The 19,904-nt window shown below is 47.4% G+C and overlaps 2 protein-coding genes across 5 annotated transcripts, besides 3 other annotated features; one reads left to right on the forward strand and one right to left on the reverse strand.

Annotated features, from left to right (window-relative positions):
- Positions 3,436–4,853, reverse strand: NOP10 (NOP10 ribonucleoprotein). The gene is made up of 2 exons (NM_018648.4): positions 4,737–4,853; positions 3,436–3,825 (listed from the first exon to the last, which is right to left on the reverse strand). Exons 1-2 carry the CDS (start codon positions 4,788–4,790, stop codon positions 3,685–3,687), a joined length of 195 nt encoding a protein of 64 aa, NP_061118.1. The 5' UTR covers positions 4,791–4,853; the 3' UTR covers positions 3,436–3,684.
- Positions 4,596–4,705: a silencer, noted in NCBI's record as "silent region_6279". NCBI's record gives its function as "represses an Ori minimal core promoter by ATAC-STARR-seq in GM12878 lymphoblastoid cells {active_cell/tissue: GM12878}" and the evidence as "EXISTENCE:reporter gene assay evidence [ECO:0000049][PMID:35858748]".
- Positions 4,786–4,885: a silencer, noted in NCBI's record as "silent region_6280". NCBI's record gives its function as "represses an Ori minimal core promoter by ATAC-STARR-seq in GM12878 lymphoblastoid cells {active_cell/tissue: GM12878}" and the evidence as "EXISTENCE:reporter gene assay evidence [ECO:0000049][PMID:35858748]".
- On the forward strand, positions 5,032–19,452 carry NUTM1 (NUT midline carcinoma family member 1). 4 transcript variants are annotated; one of them, XM_047432341.1, is made up of 8 exons: positions 5,032–5,419; positions 7,571–7,752; positions 9,686–10,394; positions 12,421–12,549; positions 15,453–15,589; positions 16,163–16,449; positions 16,738–16,854; positions 17,205–19,452. In XM_047432341.1, the coding sequence occupies exons 2-8, from the start codon at positions 7,737–7,739 to the stop codon at positions 19,206–19,208; spliced, it is 3,399 nt and encodes a 1,132-aa protein (XP_047288297.1). In that variant the 5' UTR covers positions 5,032–5,419; positions 7,571–7,736; the 3' UTR covers positions 19,209–19,452. The 4 variants fall into 4 exon arrangements, with proteins under 4 accessions (XP_047288297.1, NP_786883.2, NP_001271221.2 ...); NM_175741.3 differs by having other exon boundaries at positions 7,574–7,752; NM_001284292.2 differs by having other exon boundaries at positions 7,659–7,752.
- Positions 15,488–16,687: an enhancer, noted in NCBI's record as "BRD4-independent group 4 enhancer chr15:34645972-34647171 (GRCh37/hg19 assembly coordinates)". NCBI's record gives its function as "activates an origin of replication core promoter dependent on BRD2, P300/CBP, MED14 and CDK7 cofactors, and independent of BRD4, by STARR-seq in HCT116 cells {active_cell/tissue: HCT116}" and the evidence as "EXISTENCE:reporter gene assay evidence [ECO:0000049][PMID:35650434]".
- Positions 19,453–19,904: the final 452 nt, after the last annotated feature.

Consider the following 19,904-nt stretch of genomic DNA (forward strand, 5'->3'; position numbering starts at 1 on the left):
AGTGTCTCTGAAAACATCATTCATGATTTCTTTAACCAGAAACACCGCTCCTATACCTGGGAATAACCCTCATTGTAATTTTTATGTAGAGGTCTACATACAAATAAACCACTTTTATGTAAAAAAAAAAAATTAAAACTATAAAGTAGGCCTGGCGCGGTGGTTCACGACTGTAATCCTAGCACTTTGGGAGGCTGAGGCGGGCGTGATCGATCACCTGAGCTCAGGAGTTCCAGACCAGCCTGGCCAGCATAGCGAAACCCCGTCTCTACCAAAAATTCAAAAATTAGCCGGGCGTGGTGGCGTGTGCCTGTAATCCCAGCTATTCCTTAGACTGAGGCAGGAGAATCGCTTGAGCTTGGGAGGCGGAGGTTGCAGTGAGCCGAGAACGCACCATTGCATTCCAGCCTGGGGGGACAAGAGCAAAACTCCGTCTCAAAGAAATAAATAAATAAAAATAAAACTATAAAGTACCTTAAACACATTTGTCCTACTTTAATTTTTTGTTGTTGTTCTTGTCCTTTTAATAAATGCTATGTCCACTTTCTAGTCAGACTGAAAGTTCCACTAAATAATACGTTTTTTTATACCTGGAGAAGACGTTGATGTATTTTCTCAAATCCATTCCATGTTTTCACCACTACATTTGTCGCTAGAATATTTTTTCTTAGTGTTTATTTAATGTATAAATGGTGGTGTTCGATAAATTCTGACTCACCAATGTTTTGTTTGAAAAGCTATTTCCTATAGCTGTGATCAAGACCTCTAAATTTAACAATCACCTGGGCCCAGAAACTGGCCCCCGGTTTTGCCTGGGGTCTTGGCTCCTCACAAGTGGTTATGTTTAAGCAGCACTCCTAGCAATGGGAACTGTATTCCCGGAAGTTCTCTTTTATCAAATGACACACAAAGTCCAAATCCTTTCAAGGATTAAAGGATCAAAAAGGTTAAAAAGATCCTGGTAACAAAATGAGAAATCCTAATGTAAAGTGTAAACCTCCTAAAGTTTGACTCTTTATAAAGTCTGGGTTTCTTGATTCAGGCCCACAGCTTTCATCCATCCTCAGCAGGATCAATTTTTTCCTCAGGCAGGCCTGCCGTTCATTCAAACTTCAGACTTTTCCTTTATAAAGAAACACAGAATTTTTATGAAACCCAATTTCCTACCAGTGTATCTGCATTTACTTATATGTACCACCTAATTCCAATATACTATCCCTGTTAAGACTTTTCTTGTTTCTGAGCACTAACCAAGCTCTATAAATGTATGTCTCAGACGTTAATACCCCAGGGATCTCTTTATTTTCTCAGGGAGACACAGCCTCTGGTGCAAAATGAAGCCTCATTCCTCAGGGGATCTCTTATGGAAAAAGTCCTTTTTATATTCATGCCAGTTTGCTTTCTCTCCTCTATATTCATTAGGAATATTTTCAGGTTAAAGCTTTTAAGTCTACACAGGTGGTAGCATGGAGCAATGCTAATTCTTTTTTTTTTTTCTTTTTTGTAAGATAAAGGCAGAACTGCAGCCAACATTAAAAAACTGGTAGCAAAATTCACTTACTGACTTTGGTGCTTAAGAAACATGTCTCCAATCATTATCCCCTTAATTGGATAAGATAACTTTTAAAAATCTTTCAGATCCAATGTTATATCCAATCCTGTAAGTGAACAAGCTAAGAAATAAAATTGCTTGACAGGAAACAAGTATCCCATTTCACAATTTCTCTAAGTTAACTCTTTAAAATCCTTCAGATCCAATGTTAAGAACCCTGCAAGTAAGTGAACAGGCTAAGAAATAAAATTCCTTGACAGGAAACAAGTATCTCATTTCACCATTCCTATATGTTTCAGTAATGTATTTCAAAATCATCTGTCTTCTATTAATTATGACTCCAGTTGAGAGACTTTTTTTTTTCTTTTCAGCAACCCACAACTATCCTGAACTTTTCTGCTGGGATGGTCAAATAGCAAGATCCAAGAAAAGCAAAGTCTGGCCGGGCACTGTGGCTCACGCCCGTAATCCCAACACTTTGGGAGGCCAAGGCAGGAGGACAGCTTGAGCCCGGAGTGCAACACCAGCTTGGGCAACATAGTGAGACCTCGTTTCTATAAAAAATTTAAAAATGGGGTGGACCGCTTGAGACAGGGAGGTAGAGGCTGCAATGAGTTGTGATCACATCACTGCACTCCTGCCTGGACCACAGGAGTGAGACCTGACTCAAAAAAAAAAAAAAAGTATTTCCAGGGTATGTCTTCATAAATCACATCTGTGCTAATTTAAGTTATATCTGCTTCTGGAATCTAGAATTTTTATCATAGAAAATAAAGATTGCAGAATTAAAATACAGACTCCACAAAGCAATTTTAAAATCTGCAGCACTAGGCCGGCCAAGGTGGCTCATGCCCGTAATCCCAGCACTTTGGGAGGCTGAGGCGGGCGGATTACTTGAGGTCAGGAGTTTGAGATCAGCCTGACCAACAAGGTGAAACCTTGTTTCTACTAAAAATACAAAAATTAGCCAGGCATGGTGGTGTGCGCCTGTAGTCCTAGCTACTCGGGAGGCTGAGGCAGGAGAATAGCTTGAACCCAGGAGGCGGAGGTTGCAGTGAACCAAGATGGCGCCACTGCACTCCAGCCTGGGGTACAAGAGCAAAACTCCATCTCAAAAAAAAAGAAAGACCCAGGCCAGGTGTGGTGACTCATGCCTGTAATCCCAGCACTTTGGGAGGCTGAGGTGGGTGGATCACTTGAGGTGAGGAGTTTGAGACCAGCTTGGCCGACATGGCGAAACCCTGTCACTACTAAAAGAAATACAAAAATTAGCCAGGTGTGGTGGCGTGCACCTGTAATCCCAGTTACTTGGGAAGCTGAGGCAGGAGAATTGCTTGAACCTGGGAGACGGAGGTTGTAGTCAGCCAAGGCTGCACCCCTGCACTCCAGCCTGGACAACAGATCTAGACTCTGTCTCAAAAGAAAAAAAAAGAAAGGCCCACCACTAAATCAATTTGAGTTCAAAGATAAGTTAATCAGGAGAAAAATCAGACTAAACAGGTTAAGTAACTTTCTCAAAGTTATACAAAAAGCAAATACTGGTCTTCTGACTTTCAATTCACTGACCTCTGTCTGTAATATGCCTATTACTTTTACAAGTACTCTTCCATTTTTAATCAAAATCTTATTTCAAGGGACAAGAAATTACGTTAAGTGACAACAGAGGTATTTTTCAGTGAATGCTGACAGCTGTGAAAGTCTTAATCTTTCTTCCCCAATACCCTCCTATCATGAACAGCACATGACCACTCTTGCAACAGCAGGACTGAAGTTTTTCTTCCAAGTGGTATTGTTGCAACTCTCTGGGGTACTCTCCTTTATCATCTCCCTCCCTTTAAAAAAATACTGCCAATCCTTTCCTCCAACAACTCACAAAATAAGAGTTTTTCAAATCATTTTATCTTTAATAATCTTGTAGTAATTTAAAATATGAGAAAAAAAAGTCAAATGTGTTCCCTTTATGGGTGATGCCACCATGATTGCCTCACACAAGCATAATCAATCGCCACGAGAGACTGGATGCCAAAGAGTATGGCTGGCAAAAAGGCATCAGGGCTCACAGTCCGAAGAGTTTGGTTACGGAGTCTCCGAGGGGTAACAGGTGGCAGAAAAGACATCAGTTTAAGGGACCCTCAGAGGACAGGGCGCGGTTGCTGGGTCATGAGCACCTTGAAGCGTTTCTTGATGGTGATTCGGTGTCGAGAGTATTTGTCATCTGGGGAGAACCGAGCAGGATGGGCTGAGCAGGTCTGTTGTCCCATCGGGTCAAATTTCTGCTCCAGGAACACAGAATGTATGTCAGTACAGGAGTGATGAAATGGGGTGGGGCCAGCGCGAAAAAGGGCAAACATGAAAATAGAAGATGCAATGGTCAACTCAAAAAGTTGTACAAATAAATAGAGAAATATAAAATTTAAAAAGGCCGAGCGCGGTGGCTCACGCCTGTAATCCTGGCACTTTGGGAGGTCGAGGCGGGAGGATGGTTTGAGACCAGCCTGGGCAATATGGCGAAACCTCGTCTCTACAACAAACAAACAAACAAAACCAACCAACCAAACAAAAAACCCCAAAACCAAAAATTAGCCGGGTATGGTGGCGCACGCCTGTAGTCCCAACTACTCGGGAGGCTGAGGCAGAAGGATTGTTTGAGCCCAGGAGGCGGAGGTTGCAGTGAGCCGAGACCGCACCACCGCACTACAGCCTAGGCAACAAAGCGAGTCCCTGTCTTTAAAAAAAAAAAAAAAAAAAAAAAGGAAAAGTGAGTGCAATGGCGCTATCCCGGCTCACTGCAACCTCTGCCTCCCGGGTTTAAGCGATTCTCCTGTCTCAGCCTCCCGAGTAGCTGGGATAACAGGCGCACACCGCCATGCCCGGCTAATTTTTTGTATTTTAGTAGAAACGGAGTTTCACAGTGTTGCCCAGAATGGTCGCGAACTCCTGAGCTAAGGCAATCCACCCGCCTCGGCCTCCCAAAGTGCTAGGATTACAGGCGGGAGCCACTGCGCCCCGCCAGAATTTTTTCTTTTAATTAAAAAATGAGTCGCGCGGTCCCGGTTCTTCCCCACCTCGGTTCTGGACTTTCTGGTTCCCCGCACCCAGCTAGGTAACTCCACGTATGACCTCACCCACTCCTCCCATCTACATTTCTCGCCATGCCTATTTACACCCTGTTTTCTCTCCTCACCTTCAGCGTATAGACTCGATCTCCCTGCTCGTTGAGGTAATACTGGAGAAACATGATCGCTTATAAGCCAGCGGTCCCAATTCGGTCCACCGCTCAGTCTGCAGTGGTCCGCCCGACCGCGTCACGTGTTCGTCAATTTCCTTCCTGCATAACCGGAAGTCTCTCTCTCCTGGCACTCCGGAAAATGTAGTCAATTTTTGCCTTGTTTTCAGCTAGCCAGAAGGGGGCGCACGAGAGCAGGGCTTGGCTTGGGGCCCTACTTGCAACTTTGCAGGCTAAAACACGTGGAGTGTCCCTACTGTGTGCTAGGTACACGGCGTTAGAGGGGGGTAGGGATGGATGTGGATAGAATATTGACGTATAGAAGCCTGTCTTTGTCTCAAGATACACACCCATTTCAGGAGCAGTGAGTTTTCAATGCCTGAAGAAACAAGGGCTCCAGGATTCAGAGCCCCTTTACCCTAGGGAAGAAAGAAGAGGTTTTCTTCCCTCCCCTCTTTTACATCCAGTTCCCCTGCTCCATTTCAAAGCGTTGGCGGTAAAGAATGCATGTTGAGTATCAATATTCCGTAAAGCGAAAGAGCGTAAAGTTATTTTATGAAACTGGTGAAGCATGTTTCAGCGGTCGAACCAAGATTTAAAGTTAGGTCCCTACCGCAAATTCAGCGCTCTTTCTTATGGTGGTGAGTAGCTAATAATAACGTAATAAAGTGCACCTTCTAGGAGTTTTTACAATTTTTAAAAGAATATAGAAGTTCTCCTTATAAGACTCTCGTTTAAAGAAATGAAAATGAGAACCAAAATATCATTACAAAGATCATCGTTACGCCATTATTTACAATGACAAAAGCATTGGAATATATATTAACTGTGTAACCAGAAAAACCTGCACTTTTTTTTTTTTTTTTTTAAGAATATGGTTTGGCGGGGCGCGGTGGCTCACGCCTGTAATCCCAACACTGGGAGGCTGAGGCAGGCAGATCACAGGTCAAGGGTTCGAGACCAGCCTGGCCAATCTGGCGAAACCCCGTCTCTACTAAAAATACAGAAAAATTAGCCGGGCGTGGTGGTGGGCGCCTGTAGTCCCAGCTACTTCAGAGGCTGAGGCAGGAGAATCATTTGAGCCGGGGAGGCAGAGGTTGCAGCGAGCTGAGATAGCACCACTGCACTCCAGCCTGGGTCCGTCTTAAAGAAAAAAAAATATGGTTTGTGGCTGGGCGCGGTGGCTCACGCCTGTAATCCCAGCACTTTGGGAGGCTGAGACGGGTGGATCACAAGGTCAGGAGTTCGAGACCAGCCTGGCCAATATGGTGAAACCCCCAAAAATACAAAAATTAGCGGGGCGTGGTGGCGGGCACCTGTAGTCCCAGCTACTCGGGAGGCTGAGGCAGGAGAATCACTTGAACCCAGGAGGCGGAGGTTGCAGTGAGCCAAGATCACGCCACTGCACTCCAGCCTGGGCGACAGAGCGAGATCCTGTCTCAAAAAAAAAAAAAAAAAAAAAAGAATATGGTTTGTATTTACTTGTAGTTGCATAAAAAATCTCTGCAAGTATTCACAAGAAACAGATGATACTGGTTTCCTCTGGGATAGAGAACTTAGTTGCAGGAGAAAGGGGTAAGGGTTGGGAGGCAGACTTATTGCTATGTATTTTATTACGCAGTTTGATTTTTGAACCTTGCTAATGTATTTATTACCTGTTAAAAATTTTTTAAAGGCCGGGCACGGTGGCTCACGCCTAGTAATCCCAGCACTTTGGGAGGCTGAGGCGGGCGGATCATGAGGTCAGGAGATCGAGACTATCCTGGCTAACACAGTGAAACCCCGTCTCTACTAAAAATACAAAAAATTAGCCGGGCATGGTGGTGGGTGCCTGTAGTCCCAGCTACTCAGGAGGGTGAGGCAGGACAATGGCGTGAACCCGGAAGGCGGAGCTTGCAGTGAGCAGAGATCACGCCACTGCACTACAGCCTGGGTGACAGAGCGAGACTCTGTTTAAAAAAAAAAATTTAAATCTAAGTAGTTAATTTTGTTAGAAAGGAAAATGATGATTTTAGCCTTCAGGTCTTTAGAAAAGAGAAAAGATATCTCAGAGGAAGCAAGAAAGATGCCATGAACCCCAGGGAAGGCCTTTTGGGGGAAATCCACGTTTGGATGAAGCTGTGGCTGTAGAGGATGCTCTGGGAGTTACTGGCCTGAAATAGTCGCCAGGAACCTTAGCAGATAAATTTTATTTTTAAAGTTTAAACCAAAATAATTTAACAAAAAGAAGGACTTTCTACTCTTGAAATTTTAAACTGCATGGCAGCTTTTTTATTTAGTGAGGCTTTTCAGCAAAGGGTAAGGCGTCTGTGGAGTACAGAGCCTATGTTAGTAGATTGGACAGCTTTCCAAGGAAATGATGTGCACACAGCAATCGAGCACCTTGGATCATCTGACAATTCTAATTTTAAACTTTAGTTCCCTTGATCCTTACGTGTATAGACCAATGTACTCTGAATTTAGTTCAGAAAATATAGCCATCATTGAATTAAGTCAGGGGTCTACAGTCAACCTGCTGTTAATAGGAAGTCAGTTACAGAACTGGCTGGGATGGAAGGACACAAAATGAGATATGTTGGTGAAGAATCGAAGTGTAGTGAACCAAACGGTAAAACTGTAATGTGTTGGGAATCTGAGAAAAAGTTTACAAATAGCCCTAAAGAGGCAAACATCAATTGTGTTGCCAAACTGTAGTTTGAAGGGAATTCCTGGTTTTTTCATACTTACTAGAACCCTTCATGGAATATCTGTCCCCACCCTCACCCCACTTTTCCCTCTCCCCTCCCCCACAGCAGAATGCCTTGAGTTCCGTATTCTAGTTCTGTGTGATCTGATCTTTACCTTCCCTTCCTTGGATCCCTGTGCACCTACTGGAGCCAGGTTACTCTGGGTCCTGGACCTGACTGCCTCATTCTGGAGGCTTCCAGACAGCCACAGTTAGTGCCCAAACCTGAGAGGATGGCTTCAGATGGAGGTAAGTCTGCAGGTGGTGAGGAGGATTTCTGGTACCTGCTCATATCCTTTGAGACAAGCTCTCTGGGCTGACCTAAAGGAATGTGAGGTGCTACACCCCGTCAAAGGTATCACACTTGGGGAGGCTAGGGAAGGAGATTGTACCTTTAAGACTAGGGGCTGGGGAAGGAAGAGGACTTCCTTAAGGACAGATTAAGGTGTCTCTGAGGACACATGCTGAGTATAGAGAAAGGATGGCAATTAGCAACTTGATTCTCTTGAACAGGGGACACTTCCGCATGTGTTTTTGTGGTGGGAGAGAGGATCAGGGGTATGTGTCTTAGGACTGGCACAGAGAGGTTTCAAGGGGGAAGGCCCAAGTTCATCTGTCTTTTTTAGGCAACTGGAGCCTGTTCTAGGATTTTGCCATGCTTGAGCTTATGAGGGGAAGGGGATGTGGAGGATGGAGGATGGGAGGGTAAGGTGGGAAGGACCTTAGTGGGAAAAGATAATCTGTAGTTATCTGTTGCAGAGAAATGCCTTCCTGAAAACTAGGCTGGAATGTATTATAAACTGCCTCTGCTTGGGCCGGGTGCGGTGGCTCATGCCTGTAATCCCAGCACTTTAGGAGGTCGAGGCGGGTGGATTACCTGAGGTCAGGTTTTTGAGACCAGCCTGGCCAACATGGCGTAAACCCCGTATGTCCTAAAAATACAAAAATTAGCTGGATGTGGTGGTTCGTGCCTGTAATCCCAGCTACTTGCGGGGCTGAGGCAGGAGAATCACTTGAACCCAGGAGGCGGAGGTTGCAGTGAGCTAAGATCGTGCTGCTGCACTCCAGAATGGGCCACAGAGCAAGACTCCATCTAAAAAAAAAAAAAAAAAAAAAAAAAAGCAGCACTTAGAGGCAGTGATGGCTTGGGCTTGTCTCTTCTTGGCAGATAGGGGTCTGTGTGTCTTGTTGAAAAAGAAGCAACTTCTTTAATGCAGTCATTCTCAACGAGAAGTAAGATCAAAATCACTTGGGGGACATTTGCAAACTATGCAAGTTCCCCATCCATATCCCCTCTTTCACCTGTTGAGAATCAGTGCTTTGAGTCTTCGGGTCTAAAGAAGAACTCAGATGGGGTGTGGTGGCTCACACCAGTTATCTCTGCACTTTGGAAGGCTGAGGCAGGAGGATCACTTGAGGCCAGGAGTCTGAGCCTAGCCTAGGCAACATAGCGAGACGTCATCTCTACAATTTTTCTTTTTTTTTTTTTGAGACAGAGTTTTCCTTTGTCACCGAGGCTGGAGCACAGAGGCGCAATCTCAGCTCACTGCAGCCTCAACTTCTTGGGCTCAAGCGATCCTCCCACCCCAGCCCCCCAAGTAGTTGGGACTACAGGTGCATGCCACCGCACCTGGCTTATTTTCGTATTTTTAATGGAGACAGGGTTTTGCCATGTTGCCCAGGCTGGTCTCAAACTCCTGGAGTCAAGCAATCCTTCCACCTTGGCCTCCCAAAGTGCTGGGATTACAGATATGAACCACCGTGCCCGGCCTCTACAAAAAAATTTAAAAATAAAGGAGGAATTCACCTGTAATCCCAGCACTTTGGGAGGCCGAAGCAGGCGGATCACAAGGTCAGGAGATCGAGACCAACCTGGCTAACACGGTGAAACCCCGTCTCTATTAAAAATACAAAAAGTTAGCCGGGCGTGGTGGTGGGCGTCTGTAGTCCCAGCTACACAGGAGGCTGAGGCAGGAGAATGGCATGAACCTAGGAGGCGGAGATTGCAGTGAGCCGAGATTGTGCCACTGCACTCCAGCCTGGGCGACAGAGCGAGACTCCATCTCAAAAAATAAAAATAAAAATAAAAATAAAAATAAAAATAAAAAAATGGGGAATTCAGATGGCTAACTCTGGTCTTCTTTTCTCCTACTCCATTTCTTCTTTTTCTTTGTCTCAACAGCATCTGCATTGCCGGGACCGGATATGAGCATGAAACCTAGTGCCGCCCCGTCTCCATCCCCTGCACTTCCCTTTCTCCCACCAACTTCTGACCCACCAGACCACCCACCCAGGGAGCCACCTCCACAGCCCATCATGCCTTCAGTATTCTCTCCAGACAACCCTCTGATGCTCTCTGCTTTCCCCAGCTCACTGTTGGTGACAGGGGATGGGGGCCCTTGCCTCAGTGGGGCTGGGGCTGGCAAGGTCATTGTCAAAGTCAAGACAGAAGGGGGGTCAGCTGAGCCCTCTCAAACTCAGAACTTTATCCTTACTCAGACTGCCCTCAATTCGACTGCCCCGGGCACTCCCTGTGGAGGCCTTGAGGGTCCTGCACCTCCATTTGTGACAGCATCTAATGTGAAGACCATTCTGCCCTCTAAGGCTGTTGGTGTCAGCCAGGAGGGTCCTCCAGGCCTTCCGCCTCAGCCTCCACCACCAGTTGCTCAACTGGTCCCCATTGTGCCCCTGGAAAAAGCTTGGCCAGGGCCACATGGGACAACCGGGGAAGGAGGTCCTGTGGCCACTCTATCCAAGCCTTCCCTAGGTGACCGCTCCAAAATTTCCAAGGACGTTTATGAGAACTTCCGTCAGTGGCAGCGTTACAAAGCCTTGGCCCGGAGGCACCTATCCCAGAGTCCTGACACAGAAGCTCTTTCCTGTTTTCTTATGTAAGTGGGGAGACCGGAGATTAATTATTCTAGGGCTTTTAAATAAGGAGGACTTTGGGGTGAACATAGTAGTTTAGGCTGTTTAGGACTACTTGAGGGAAGGTCATGAGGGCAAGGGAGATGCTCTGAGAATGAAAAACATATTAATAATAATAATCAGCCTCTTAACCCACTTCCTAGTTTATAACAACCTTTCAGGTGTCTTATCTTAAGTGATCCTCACCACACTGTGAGTTCAGGCAAGCCTTCCTCTGGTAATCTTCATTTACAGATAAGAAGACTGAAACCAAGGACCAGTGATTGGAACTTAGGTCTCTCACTCTAAGTGCCAGGGTCCTCCCCCCGTTCTATTTTACTACCTTTTGACATTGAGTCAGAACTATCCAAACTAGCCAGGATGAGTGCTGGACCCTAACTCAGGGCCCTGGGTGGCAGGGGGAACAGTGTGGGGCCAGGCAAAGGACTTTGTGTGTGCTGCTCCCTCTGCTCCCTCCACTCATTTTATTCAGGAGAATTCACTTTGAAATAGGGTGGTGGGTAGAGCTTGCTTAGTGGTCAAGGGCATGGCTCTACCACTCACTAGATTTGTGATCCTGGGCAGGACATTTAACATCTTTGCCCTCAGTTTTCTCAGTTAAAAAGGGGGATAACTATACCTAATTCACAGAGTTGCTGAGGAGATTAAATGGGTTAATATATGTGAAGTCCTTGGCGCAGAGAATGTTTCATTAAATGTCAACTGTTTTATTATTATCCTAAAAAGGCCATCTAGAAGAGGAAAAGAACTCGCAAAAGGTCAAAACGTCCTTGCTTAAGAGCGAGTGTGTGTTTAGTCAAGGAGCCCAGGGTCCTAGGCTGTTTTGTTTACAAAACAGTCATTCCTCAGCTGGGGAACAGTCTTCCCTTCCCACCCAGACCCACTGTCCCTCTCAACTGCCCTGTGCCCTCAGCATTTTGTGTAAGCCGCTATATAACACATACCACATTTTATTGCTTTAAACAAATGTACATGGTGCTCTTCCAGTGGCTGAACTCCTAAAGGAATCCCTCTACCCCGAACTTGGAGCAAATGAATCAAGATGTTCCCCCAAAGTCCTAGATGTACAGCGTCTTCAGGCTCCCTGCTTTCTCAAGGCAGATCTGAGTTCGCTCTTGGAGCCTAGCAGGCTAAATTTCAAAATCTTGAACCAATGTGGGCTCTCAAGGTTTGCATGGGATCCATTTGCTTTGGGTCCTGGTCTGCTTGTGCTTCACACTCAGGGGCTCTGGGCAGGGTCTTCCACAAGAGGCAGTCCAGACCACTGCAACATGGGAAGCTCCTAAAATGCTCAGTTGTGGGATCCTGGGGAGCTGCAAGTTGATTATAACGAGCTTCCCCAAGCGATTCTGATGCCCAATAATGTCTGAGGACTCCAAGGGAGTCAGAGAGACAAAAATGAAGCCCTTGCTTTAGGCTGGGCTCTTGATTTCTTCTGGATTAGGAAGGGCTCAAGAGCCCTCTAGAAGTGGGGGTCTAGTACTGGCATTTAACTGTCTGTGGGGAATATCTGGAAACAAAGACTGAAAAACCAATAAATAAAAACACCACATGACCTTTAATTAGAGATTCCTTTGGGTTAGCAAATGCCTTTAAAGAAAAAATGCAAGAGCCTTTGGACAAGGTTAAACATACTTTATAGCAAATCCCATTCATTTAATAACGCGAGTCCTCCCTTTCTAATAATTAATTGAGGATGGCACTGTGATAATTAGGGGTGGTAGTTGCCATTGATTTTAAAAGGTGGGGAGAAGAATTGTCTGTTTGATTTTATATTAGTTGTAAAGTTCAACAGGAAGAGGGGCGAGTATGGTAGATGAATGGATGGGAGGTTGAGCGTCTGTAAGTCTAATCAGAAGTGGGACACGACAGGCCCTAAGGGGCACAATAGATTTGATGAGGGGCAGGGGATGTGTTATTGATGTAGGTGTCAGGGCAGGTGGATGGGAGCACACTTTTAGAATGTGACTGACTCAATGGGGGTTTTAGCCCAGTGCTTCGTTCCCTGGCCCGGCTGAAGCCCACTATGACCCTGGAGGAGGGACTGCCATTGGCTGTGCAGGAGTGGGAGCACACCAGCAACTTTGACCGGATGATCTTTTATGAGATGGCAGAAAGGTGAGTTCGATGAACCTTCATTCTCCTGAGGGAGGCTGTGTGGCTGAGAGCAGTAAGGGCCGCAGAGAGACTTGTGTGGGGGTGATTATCAAAAGCCATGTTAGGATGGGGCGCAGCGGCTCACGCCTGTAATCCCACCACTTTGGGAGGCCAAGGCCGGTGGATCACCTGAGGTCAGGAGTTCGAGAACAGCCTGGCCAACATGGCGAAACCCTGTCTCTACTAAAAAAAAAAAAAATACAAAAATTAGCCGGGCATGGTGGCATGTGCCTGTAGTCCCAGCTACTCAGGAGGCTGAGGCAGGAGAATCGTTTGAACCTGGGAGGTGGAGGTTGCTGTGAGCCAAGATCATGCCTCTGCACTCCAGCATGGGTGACAGAGCAAGACTCCATCTCAAAAAAAAAAAAAAAAAAAAAAAAAAAAAAAAAAAAAGGGATGTTAGGCTGGGTGTGTGCTTGTAGTCCCAGCTACTCTAGAGGCTAAGGTGGGAGGATGGTTTGGGTTCAGTAGTTCAAGACCAGCCTGGACAACATAGCAAGACCTCATCACAAAAAAAAAAAAAAGAAAAGAAAAGAAAAAAAGGGACGGGAGGAGGGGTGTAGACTAGGATGGCAGTTTCCTGGATCCTTGCTTCTTCTTCCACCACCTTGACTCTTGGGTTTTTCTATCCTGTTTCCTCTTGAAAGCTCCCCCCTCACCAGATCCTGAATCTGTATAGGAGCCTTGATATTGTAGGTCTTAGGATGGGATTGGAGATTGGACCCCGATAGATATAGAAATTTCATGCTGAAGGGACCTAGCAATGAGGAGGTGTGCTCTACCAGGCAGGTTCTTTTCTCTTCTCATTGACTTGGTAGCAAGTGGCTATTGATACAGAACTTCAGGACCACTCCTCCATTGGAAATAGTGGCACAGAAAATCCCTTTCCGCCTTTATCCCAGGGAGGGGGCTGGTTCTGGAAGAGCCGGGGAAAGCCAGTGTCCTGGATGCCCAAAGTTGTCTCCTGGCTCTTCTTCTATTTCTCTATAATATCTTTGATTAAAAAAAAAAAAAAAAGGCTAGGCGTGGTGGCTCCGCCTGTAATCCCAGCACTTTGGGAGGCCGAGGCAGGCAGATCACCTGAGGTCGGGAGTTCGAGACCAGCCTGACTAACATGGAGAAACCCCCATCTCTACTAAAAATACAAAATTAGCCAGGCATGGTGGCGCATGCCTGTAATCCCAGCTACTCAGGAGGCTGAGGCAGGAGAATCGCTTGAACCCAGGAGGCAGAGGTTGCGGTGAGCCGAGATTGTGCCATTGCACTCCAGCCTCGGCAACAAGAGCGAAACTCTGTCTCAAAAAAAGAAAGAAAGAAAGAAAAAACTCAGAAAAATGAACAGATTCTTCCAAGCTTAGCTTCCACTTACTCCCTCCCAAAACCTTTTGGACCCATGCTTCCTAGACTTACCTTTCCAAGAATCCCATCCCAGTCTCAGGACTCTGGGATCTCACATTGTTTCCTGGTAGGAACTGCCTTGAATTCTTTGTGGTTGTAGGCAGGGGCAAATGAGGTCTTGAGGAGGATCCCACTGTGAGATCCCACCAGGCTGTTGCATAGGCCTGATTAAGTTAAACAAGCCTATATTGAGCACTGCTGTGTACAATCCATGAAGCTGGGTGAGATAGGTACGGAAAACAAGTGAGGCCGGGCACATTGGCTCACACCTGTAATCCCAGCATTTTGGGAGGGTGAGGCGGGCGGATCATGAAGTCAGGAGATTGAGACCATTCTGGCTAACACGGTGAAACCCCGTCTCTACTAAAAATACAAAAAAAAAAAAAAAAAGCCAGGCGTGGTGGCACGCACCTGTAGTCCCAGCTACTCAGGAGACTGAGGCAGGAGAATCACTTGAACCCGGGAGGCAGAGGTTGCAGTGAGCCGAGATTGGGCCACTGCACTTCATCCTGGGCGACAGAGTGAGACTCTGTCTCAAAAACAAAAACAAGTACTGAAAGCCCTCACTGTGTCCAAGAGAAGTTTACAAGCTCTAGATCATTCTTAACTTTTTTTTTTTTTTTTTTTTTTTTTTGAGACAAAGTCTCACACTGTTGCCTGGGCTGGAGTGCAATGGCACGATCTCGGCTCACTGCAACCTCTGCCTCCTGGGTTCAAGTGATTCTCCTGCCTAAGCCTCCCGAGTAGCTGGGATTACAGGCACCCACCACCACATCAGGCTAATTTTGTGCATTTTTAGTAGAGACGGGGTTTCACTATGTTGGCCAGGCTGGTCTCGAACTCCTGACCTCATGATCCGCCCGCCTCAGCCTCCCAAAGTGCTGGGGTTACAGGCGTGAGCCACTGCGCCTGGCCTCATTCTTTACTTTTTAAAAATTTTCTTGAGGCAGGATCTCACTCTGTTGCCCAGGCTGGAGTGCAGTGGCACTGTCATGGCTCACTGCAGCCTTCACCTCTTGAGCTCAAGCGATCCTCCCACCTCAGCCCCACAATAGCTGTGACTAGACGCGCGTCATCACTCTTGGCTAATTTTTTTGGTATCTTTTGTAGAGATGGGTTTTTGCCGTGTTACCCAGGTTGGTCTCAAACTCTTGGGCTCAAGCAATCTGCCCACCTCAGCCTCCCAAAGTGTTGGGTTTATAGGCATGAGCCACCCCACCTGGCCATTCATTTTCTTAAGCTTCCTAAGTTATGACTATAGGGGAAGGAACTATGTGCTGAGCTCCTGAAGTTTCCCTGGAAATACGATTAAGCCACCTGTGACCACCCTCCTGGGTGACATGACTTAGGCAGACTTTGCCCACCTGAGAGCACTTCCTTTCTTGGCCATGCTTGGCTGTCGTCTGGATTTCTGATGGGTCTGGTCTCCTTCTCAGCATTGCCTATGCCTTTCTCACCCTCTGCAGGTTCATGGAGTTTGAGGCTGAGGAGATGCAGATTCAGAACACACAGCTGATGAATGGGTCTCAGGGCCTGTCTCCTGCAACCCCTTTGAAACTTGATCCTCTAGGGCCCCTGGCCTCTGAGGTTTGCCAGCAGCCAGGTGAGGCTACCCAATTTTGACAGGAGCCGTGGGCCAAAGGCTCAAAGGGATGCATACAGAAGCCAGTCACAGATTAGAGAAGGCATAGCCCAGGCTCTGCCACTTTCCCTCTGGAGAGTGGCATTTGATATTCCAAACAGACCACCCCATAGGAGGCTGGGTTCTCAGGTTCCTTTTGCCCTGAACTAGGTATTGATCTTGGTGAAGTAAACTGACTACTCTCACCGAGACTCTAAATTCAGCACATAATACCTCATCTGCCTAAGAAATGGGGACTGGATTAGGGGGTTTCTTGGAATCTCAGGGATTCCAAAATTCCTCATACAGTGATTCTTAGACCCTCTAGGTCCTAAATCTCCCATGGCTGGCGCTTTTTCAGGTTGGCCCAATCCAGCCTGGAACCATTTCAATGTACCCAGATTGCTGAGCTTACAGAGCTGGGAGGCAGAAGCTGTGGTTTCTGTGCTACTTCCCATTCTCCTGTCCATCTCTTACCTTAGTGTACATTCCGAAGGAGGCAGAATCTGTGGTTTCTGTGCTACTTCCCATTCTCCTGTCCATCTCTTCCCTTAGTGTACATTCCGAAGAAGGCAGCCTCCAAGACACGGGCCCCCCGCCGGCGTCAGCGTAAAGCCCAGAGACCTCCTGCTCCTGAGGCACCCAAGGAGATCCCACCAGAAGCTGTGAAGGAGTATGTTGACATCATGGAATGGCTGGTGGGGACTCACTTGGCCACTGGGGAGTCAGATGGAAAACAAGAGGAAGAAGGGCAGCAGCAGGAGGAGGAAGGGATGTATCCAGATCCAGGTCTCCTGAGCTACATCAATGAGCTGTGTTCTCAGAAGGTCTTTGTCTCCAAGGTGAGCTGGGCCTGCACATCTTGTTTCTAGCAGATCCTTGGGGTGGGTACTCCCGGGAACTAATGATCTGGGGTTTGTCCAATGCAGTAGGACTTAGGTTTTATTCTATAACTGAGTAATGTGTGTGCATGCATCATCATGAGAATGTGTGTAGCCGGTGGTGGTCAGTTTACAATACCGGAGGGGTAAGAGGGGAGAGTTGGGGAGCTCTTAGTTTCTTCTGTAAAGCCCCTTGTTTCACAGGTTACCTGCTTACAGACTTACATCGCTTTTCCTTCTGTTATCCAGGTGGAGGCTGTCATTCACCCTCAATTTCTGGCAGATCTGCTGTCCCCAGAAAAACAGAGAGATCCCTTGGCCTTAATTGAGGAGCTAGAGCAAGAAGAAGGACTCACTCTTGCCCAGGTAAAACTGGGGTATAGGAAATATGAGAACGAGAAGCTTGCAAGATTTTATCTAACCCTACACTGTCGTGGGTGATATGGCTCTAGAGATGAACAGCTTCAGGATTGGGCTTCAGGTGCAGAACGAGTAGGTAGAGGGCTATGGAAACACAGGAAATGAGAATGTAAGGGCTCAAAGCATGGGAATAAGGCACAAGAAGGTGGGAAAGAGCTGCAGTATCTGTCTTTGCTACCATCGCTTAAACTACTTGCTTGCCTTCCTTGCCCTGCCCAAATACCGTCTTGTGCCACCCACTCAGCCACCTCTTTCACAACCACGTATAGAACTGACTATTTGTTCATTTCTTTCAGCTGGTCCAGAAGCGACTCATGGCCTTGGAAGAGGAGGAAGATGCAGAGGCGCCTCCAAGTTTCAGTGGCGCTCAGTTGGACTCAAGTCCTTCTGGTTCTGTTGAGGATGAAGATGGGGATGGGCGGCTTCGGCCCTCACCTGGGCTTCAGGGGGCTGGGGGCGCCGCTTGCCTTGGAAAGGTTTCTTCTTCAGGAAAACGGGCAAGAGAAGTGCATGGTGGGCAGGAGCAAGCCCTAGATAGCCCCAGAGGGATGCACAGGGATGGGAACACTCTGCCATCCCCCAGCAGCTGGGACCTGCAGCCAGAACTTGCAGCTCCACAGGGAACTCCGGGACCCTTGGGTGTGGAGAGGAGAGGGTCTGGGAAGGTTATAAACCAGGTATCTCTACATCAGGATGGCCATCTAGGAGGCGCTGGGCCTCCTGGGCACTGCCTGGTGGCTGATAGGACTTCAGAGGCTCTGCCCCTTTGTTGGCAGGGAGGCTTCCAGCCTGAGAGCACTCCCAGTTTGGATGCTGGACTTGCAGAGCTGGCTCCTCTGCAAGGACAAGGGTTAGAAAAGCAAGTCCTGGGATTGCAGAAAGGACAACAAACAGGGGGTCGTGGAGTGCTTCCTCAAGGGAAGGAGCCTTTAGCAGTGCCCTGGGAAGGCTCTTCAGGAGCCATGTGGGGAGATGACAGAGGTACCCCCATGGCTCAGAGTTATGATCAGAATCCTTCCCCTAGAGCAGCTGGGGAGAGGGACGATGTCTGTCTCAGCCCAGGAGTTTGGCTGAGCAGTGAGATGGATGCTGTAGGCTTGGAGCTGCCTGTACAAATAGAGGAGGTCATAGAGAGCTTCCAAGTTGAGAAGTGTGTAACTGAGTATCAGGAAGGCTGCCAGGGACTGGGCTCCAGGGGCAACATTTCCCTGGGTCCTGGAGAAACCCTAGTACCTGGGGATACGGAGAGCAGTGTGATTCCCTGTGGAGGCACAGTTGCGGCAGCTGCCCTAGAAAAGAGAAACTATTGCAGCTTGCCAGGACCTTTGAGGGCCAACAGCCCACCCTTGAGGTCCAAAGAAAATCAAGAACAGAGCTGTGAAACCGTAGGGCATCCCAGTGATCTGTGGGCAGAAGGTTGCTTCCCATTGCTAGAAAGTGGTGATTCCACACTGGGGTCTTCCAAAGAAACCCTTCCACCCACATGCCAAGGCAATCTCCTTATCATGGGGACTGAGGATGCCTCCTCCTTGCCTGAAGCCAGTCAAGAGGCAGGGAGCAGAGGCAATTCCTTTTCTCCTCTGTTGGAAACCATAGAACCTGTCAACATACTAGATGTTAAAGATGACTGTGGCCTCCAACTAAGGGTCAGCGAGGACACCTGCCCACTGAATGTTCATTCTTATGACCCCCAAGGAGAAGGCAGGGTGGATCCTGATCTGTCCAAGCCTAAAAACCTTGCTCCTTTACAAGAGAGTCAGGAGTCTTACACAACTGGGACTCCCAAAGCAACATCTTCTCACCAGGGCCTTGGAAGCACTTTGCCTAGAAGGGGAACCAGGAATGCCATAGTTCCGAGAGAAACTTCTGTTAGTAAAACACACAGGTCAGCAGACAGGGCCAAAGGAAAGGAGAAAAAGAAAAAGGAAGCAGAGGAAGAGGATGAGGAACTCTCCAACTTTGCTTACCTCTTGGCCTCTAAACTTAGCCTCTCACCAAGGGAGCATCCCCTCAGTCCTCACCATGCCTCAGGAGGTCAGGGCAGCCAGAGAGCATCCCACCTGCTCCCTGCTGGAGCAAAAGGCCCCAGCAAACTTCCATATCCTGTTGCCAAGTCTGGGAAGCGAGCTCTAGCTGGAGGTCCAGCCCCTACTGAAAAGACACCCCACTCAGGAGCTCAACTTGGGGTCCCCAGGGAGAAACCCCTAGCTCTGGGAGTAGTTCGACCCTCACAGCCTCGTAAAAGGCGGTGTGACAGTTTTGTCACGGGCAGAAGGAAGAAACGACGTCGTAGCCAGTAGGGAGCAGCGGGACCATCTGACCCCACTTGCCAGTCCCTAAAGGTGGGTGCCCCAGAGTAGATTCCACCCCTGCTGCCCACCAATGGAGAATCCCAATGTTGAATCTCATCCCAATGTTGTTTTGTTGTTCTGCAAAAGTGGCAAGCATGGAGAGAGAGGTCAGACTGGCTAGGCTGCAGGGGGAATTACCTTTGGAAGGAGCTATATAGAAAAAAAATGAATAAAGTGTTTTGTTGGAAAATGCTCTCAGAGTGCCCTTTTTCTGTACTCGTGTCTTTGCTGCTAGATAGGGTTAAGATGCTATGAAGAAAGGCTGTAGGGGTAGTCTTAGATTCTACAAATCCATAAATCTTGTCTCCAGCCTTATCTTGGCTCCCTGCAGCCTCCTCCTGGCAACAGACTGGCTCTCAGGCTGTGATAAGTCTCCAAACTGAGGAATCTCCAATGATCACATTATACATCCCCTCTTCACAAGCCTGGACTTGGTGTCAGGAAGGCTTATCTGGGCATCTTATAATTATCTGCCTCCCTTGAAGTCTATAGATAGAAAGATGCTTTTCTACCTGTTAGATCTCTGAGATAGAGATCTAATTTTCTTTCTTCTTTTTTTGAGACAGGGTCTCGTTCTGTAGCCTAAGCTACAGAGTGCAGTGGCATAACGATGGCTTATTGCAGCCTCAACCTCCTGGGCTTAGA

Source organism: Homo sapiens, chromosome 15 (genome assembly GCF_000001405.40).
Source record: "Homo sapiens chromosome 15, GRCh38.p14 Primary Assembly".
NCBI lineage: Eukaryota > Metazoa > Chordata > Mammalia > Primates > Hominidae > Homo > Homo sapiens.